This window comes from Homo sapiens, chromosome 19 (assembly GCF_000001405.40).
Source record: "Homo sapiens chromosome 19, GRCh38.p14 Primary Assembly".
NCBI lineage: Eukaryota > Metazoa > Chordata > Mammalia > Primates > Hominidae > Homo > Homo sapiens.
The window spans coordinates 40,022,966-40,028,259 of NC_000019.10; the positions used below are offsets into that span (position 1 = coordinate 40,022,966).

The 5,294-nt window shown below is 41.3% G+C and overlaps 1 pseudogene; it reads right to left on the reverse strand.

Annotated features, from left to right (window-relative positions):
- LOC390933 (PAT1 homolog 1, processing body mRNA decay factor pseudogene) lies at nucleotides 402-2,240 on the reverse strand (annotated as a pseudogene).
- Nucleotides 2,241-5,294: the final 3,054 nt, after the last annotated feature.

The following is a 5,294-nucleotide window of genomic DNA, read 5'->3' on the forward strand; positions in this document are numbered from 1 at the left end:
AATAATTTATCATAAAGTTCTATGTTAGCTGTTTATTTTCCCTAGATATTCTTTTTGGTTTTTTGACAAATCTTGGGGCAATTTGCCATTGAAGTCATCTGAGTCAACCTTTCTTTGCGGAAAGGATTTTTAGTGGTAGTTTCAAGGACAATATACCAAAAATATTGAATTTTTCTATCATAGCAAACAATTGAAAATGAAATCAAAAAAATTTTCATTGATAAAGAACATAAAATACTTAGGAATATATTTAACAAAACACATGCAAGACTACTACCTAAAAATTACACAATTTTGTTGAGAGAAGCTAGGGAAGGCCTTAATAAATTGAAACATCTTCCATAATTACAGATGAGAAGACCCAATGTTTAGAAGTCATTTCTCAAATTGATCTAGGGATTCAGTGGAATCCAGTCAGAATTTGTTCTGGAGCACAGCAGTGAAGTGAGGATTGGAGGGAGCTGGTGTAGCTGCACTTTGAGGTAGGTTCATTAGCTGTTGCAAAAGGCTGGTGATAGTCACTGTTGGAAGATGATAGAGGAGGAGAGAGAAGGGACTCAGTAAGCATGGCAGCACCTCATCTTGTGCATCTTTCTTGATAAGGAAAGGGAGGTCCCTGGCTGTTGTCATGAAAATGTCAGCTGCTTGCTCTGTGGAGAGGAAAGGAAGAATACGGGCAACCACTGTCTTCCCTTTTTGGATACACATGATCTGTACAAAGCGGTCATCACTAGGCCTCTCTTGTCCAGGCTGTTTCCCTCTTAAGTTGTCATACATGCTACAAATTCCGTACTTTCGCTCATCCATTAGAGCAGGTCGCTGTCTTAGACTTAGGAGATAATGTCTTTCATAGTCCTCCACATCAAGGAGTAAACTGTAGGTTTTCTTAATTATGACGGGTTTTTCTCCTCTTGTCTCGAATTTGTTTTTCTTTTATCTCATCATCCTCACTCCAAGATGTCACAACAGCATCAATCATTTTTCAGGGATTATTCACACTAGAAACAGTAAGCTTTCCCAAAGAGCCCACAAATTGTACTGGCTTATAGGTGCGCTCCAGTTTGGCCACTTGAGGGGTAATAAGCTTGTTATGCTCCTTTTTAGGGCCATCACCTCGTATTTCTTCAGCAGCTGATGGTTTCTCCAGTTTTTCAAAGTAATTCTGGTAATAAAAATCATCCAGGTGGGGACCATTGCTTTGCAGTTGCATCATCTGAATTTTAGAGGCCCAATCCTTTTCCCACAGCAACATGAGATTGGCATATGGATCCTTTCGGAGATGATCTTGATGACTGCTCCAGTGACTTCCTCTATCTCCTGCACCACTGAGATTCTGATGCTGATTTCTATTCTGTTGCTGTCTCTGATGCAAGAGTCAATGGTGCTGTGGATGGAGGGGAGTTGCGTCCAGTCTAAACACTGGGACTTGAGATCTTAAGTTTTGCAAGTGAGGTCCTGGGCCAGGAGGGCGCTGCTGTGGAGGTGGTGTAGCGGAGGGTGGAGCACTAAAGAAGGCATGGAAGCCTGGTGCTGGGGGAAGCATCTGCCCAACTTGCCCTTGTAGCAACTTGGGATTCATAGCAGCATGCAGACTACCAACAAATCCAGGGACCCATGCAAACTGGCTGGGAGACATCTGTCCAGGCTGTAGCTGTGCTCCTCCAAGAAGCTGTGCTCTCTGAAAGGGGCTGAGAACAGGAGGAACACTAGGAGGAAAAGGGTGACCCAGGAGGGAAGAGTTCAGGACACTGTAGAGCTGATTTGGAGGCATCCTCTCATCATAGGGACCAGGATAACACGGTGGCATTGGGGGCCGAACATGGACAGGCTTTGAACGCAGAATCTTCCAAATTGGCTTTCGTTTTCAGTTGCTGGTTTCAGGCGGAGGAAAGTCTATGGAATAGGACTGCACAGGCTCTGTTGGGTAAAGCTGGGTACGGCCATCTGCTTAGGTGGGGTGCCTATGGGGACAGCTCTAACAGGAGGACTGCCAATGACAGGTGAAGTTGACCACCTTGGTAATGCATGTTCAGAAAGGTCCCAATCATTTTCTGGACCCTGGGGGGCCTCTGAGGCAAGGCATATTCTAATACAGACACTGTAGACATTTCCTAAGTGAGCAGTGGTCCTCAGATTTGCCTCATAACTTTGGATCCATCCCAGATACTGGAATTCAGATTTCCTGGTTGGGGTTATAAAACTGGCCTGGTCTGCACTGCCCTCATGATAGCTGGATCTTCTAGTTCATTTTCAATCACCATCTTACTGAGCCTTTCTGCCAGATTTTCCTCATGGTCACCCAACAAGTCCATTTCTTCCCTTTCTCCATTGCCTGTTTGTTCATTAACTGCCACTGGTAGCTTTTCTTCCAATTCAGCCAGGCACTCATGTGCTTCCTGCCAATCATCATCAACTGCACCTGACCCAAAAATATCATCATTGAATTGATCAATCTCTTCATCTTCTTCTCTCAGTCCCTGAAATTCATCTTCATCTTCATCCAGAAGACAATCCTCCCAAGACTCATAGTGGAACATTCTTGGGGAGGTGGGGGGGAGTGGGGAGGGGAGTGGGGGAGGGAGGGAAGAAGCACTGACTCCCTGGGCTCCTCCATGGGCAGGTCCTCCACCAGCTTGCGACCCCTGGCCACCTATTTCTGTTTCTTTTTTTGTTCCTATGAATTCTAGTTACTATCATGTATCATTTCCTTACTCCAATACAACTCTGCTGTCATTTACTTCCTTTATGCTGTTATTGTCAAATATATTACATTTCCATGTTATAGGCCCAACAATATAATTATGTACATACTGTATTATACAACTGCCTTTTAAATTTATTAAGAGAAGTAAAAAGAAATGTGCATTTGTGCTGCTTTTTGTAATTTTAATTATATTAATTTTGTTCTTTTTAAAAATGTGGTTTTGAATTTCCATGTAGATTTACTTGCTTTGTTTGAATAACCTTTACAATTTCTTATGTGGTAGGTCTGGGAAGGGCTTTATTTCACCTTCATTTTTGAAAGACAGTGTGTTACTGCTTGACAGAGCTTTTGTCGTTTGAGTACTTTGAATATATCATCCCACTACCTTCATCCCCTCCATTGCTTTGGATAAGAAGTCAGCTGTCAATCGATTGGTGTTCCATTGTAAGCGACACATCATTTTTCTCTTATATTTTTCAACATTTTCTTTCACTTTTAGCATTTCTACTATGATAGGTCTGTTCATGGATATCTTCGCATTCATTCTGATTACAGTTTGTTGAGATGCTTGTGGGTATTGATTAATGTTTATTCAACAAATTGTGGATGTATTTTGCCATTATTTCTTTGAATATTTTTGTGCTCATTTCTCTTTCTCCTTTCCTTCTGGTATTCTCATTACATGTATGTTCATGCACTTAAAAGTGCTCTGTTCATATTTTCTTGTTCTTCAAGGCTCTGTTCATATTTTCTTTGTTCTATTTTCTCATTCTATTTCATTTTATTTTCTTATTCTTTTTTCTAGTGGGAAGATGGAATTGAGGTTGCATAATTTCCATTGATCTGTTTGAAAGTTTTCTATTTACTTGCTGATCAAATTTGTTTAGCCCTTCTAATGAATTTTTTATTTTGGTTACTGTAGTCTTCAACTCCAGAACTTACATTTGGTTCATTTTGTCATTTCTCCTTATTGATTTTCTTTATTTGATGAGACGTTATCTTTATATTTTCCTTTACTGCTGTGAATATATAATGGCTACATCGAAGTTTTTGTCTATTAAATATGACATCTGTTCCCTGTCATAGGCCAACCTGTTGCCGTTTTTTTTTGTTGTTGTTGTTGTTTTGTTTTGTTTTTTTTTAAGAGTCTTGCTCTGTTGCCCAGGCTGGAGTGTAGTGGTGTGATCTTGGCTCACTGCAACCTCTCCCTCCTGAATTCAAGCGATTCTCGTGTCTTAGCCTAGTTATAGGCATGTGCTACCATGCCTGCCTAATTTTTGTATTTTTAGTAGAGATGGGATTTCATCATGTAGTCCAGGCTGGTCTCAAAACTCCTGAGCTCAAGTGATCTGCCAACCTTGGTCTCCAAAAGTGCTGGGATTACAGGTGTGACCCACTGCACCTGGCCTGCTTGCTGTTCTCCTGTGTATAGGTCCAACTTTCCCATTTGTTTGCATGTCTTAATTTACTTTTTATTATTTTCCTAATAAGTAGACATATTAGGAAACATACTGTAGTGATTTGCCTGTCCCCTCTCCAGAGCTTGTTCTTGTTGTTGTTTGCTTGGCTATGTATTTTGTGTTTTGGCTAAGCTATTTTAGTAAAATCGATTTCCCTTTCCCCTTGCAGTGTGAAGTATTTTGTGTTGTTCCTCAGCCTTAAACATATGCAGTTACCCTGCTGTGACAATGGTTTTAAACAGGAGTCTTTTTGACTATCTTTCCCTATCTCTCTGTTAAGATAACTGCCCCCTTGGTATTATTTCCAGCCCACTAAGCTCCGCTGCCGTCTATCTGGTCACTCCATTGTTTTCAACATTTCCTTGGAGCCTAAATTATTAAGCAGTTTAATATAATTTAAGTCAGGCAGGGCTAATTTTTGAGGCCAGTTTTTAAGGTTTCTTTTGACCTTTGGAGGGCTCCTTAGCTGTCTCTTCCCATGGAATTATCTGATTAACTACCTGGCCTATGGTTTATGTTGTTGTGTTTACTTTAGGGGAGCTATTTGTTTGACACTGTTTCAGATAAAGTCCATTCCTTTGGAGAGAGCTTCAGAGCTCTATTCTTATGGACTGCCACTCCCTCTGGACAAAATCTCTGAACCACCATTCTGGGTAATGGGCTGGGTTGTAGCCATCTTGTTTTTTATGTTATGAAACCTCTGCCTTAGAAGCAAGTGGAGGCAAGGGCAATCTGGGTGCAAATGAGTTCACTCTGCCTGGGTAGAGTTTCCAAACTCTGGGTGGGGCTGGGGGAAGCAAAGGAGCCCCAAACCTCCTAGTTGCGTTCACCAGGAATTTAGCCACTTTAACCAAGAGCTGGTGGGGATAAGAAACCCTGGAGGCATGCCCCTCCTGTTGATATATGACAAACCTTGATTGACAGCTGCAGCCCCATCATCTTGGCAGCATCCACCCACAGAGAAGCTTCTATCAAATTGAGCTGTGAAGAGTAAAAGGGAGTTGTGTCTTAAATGCCACAAATTCTCTTACCAAGTTCTTGGTTCTTACCAAGTTTTAGTAGAATTTCTTGATATTTCACTTCCTATATACTGTTTGGACACTTTCAGACCTCAAATGGCAAGGTTTTTA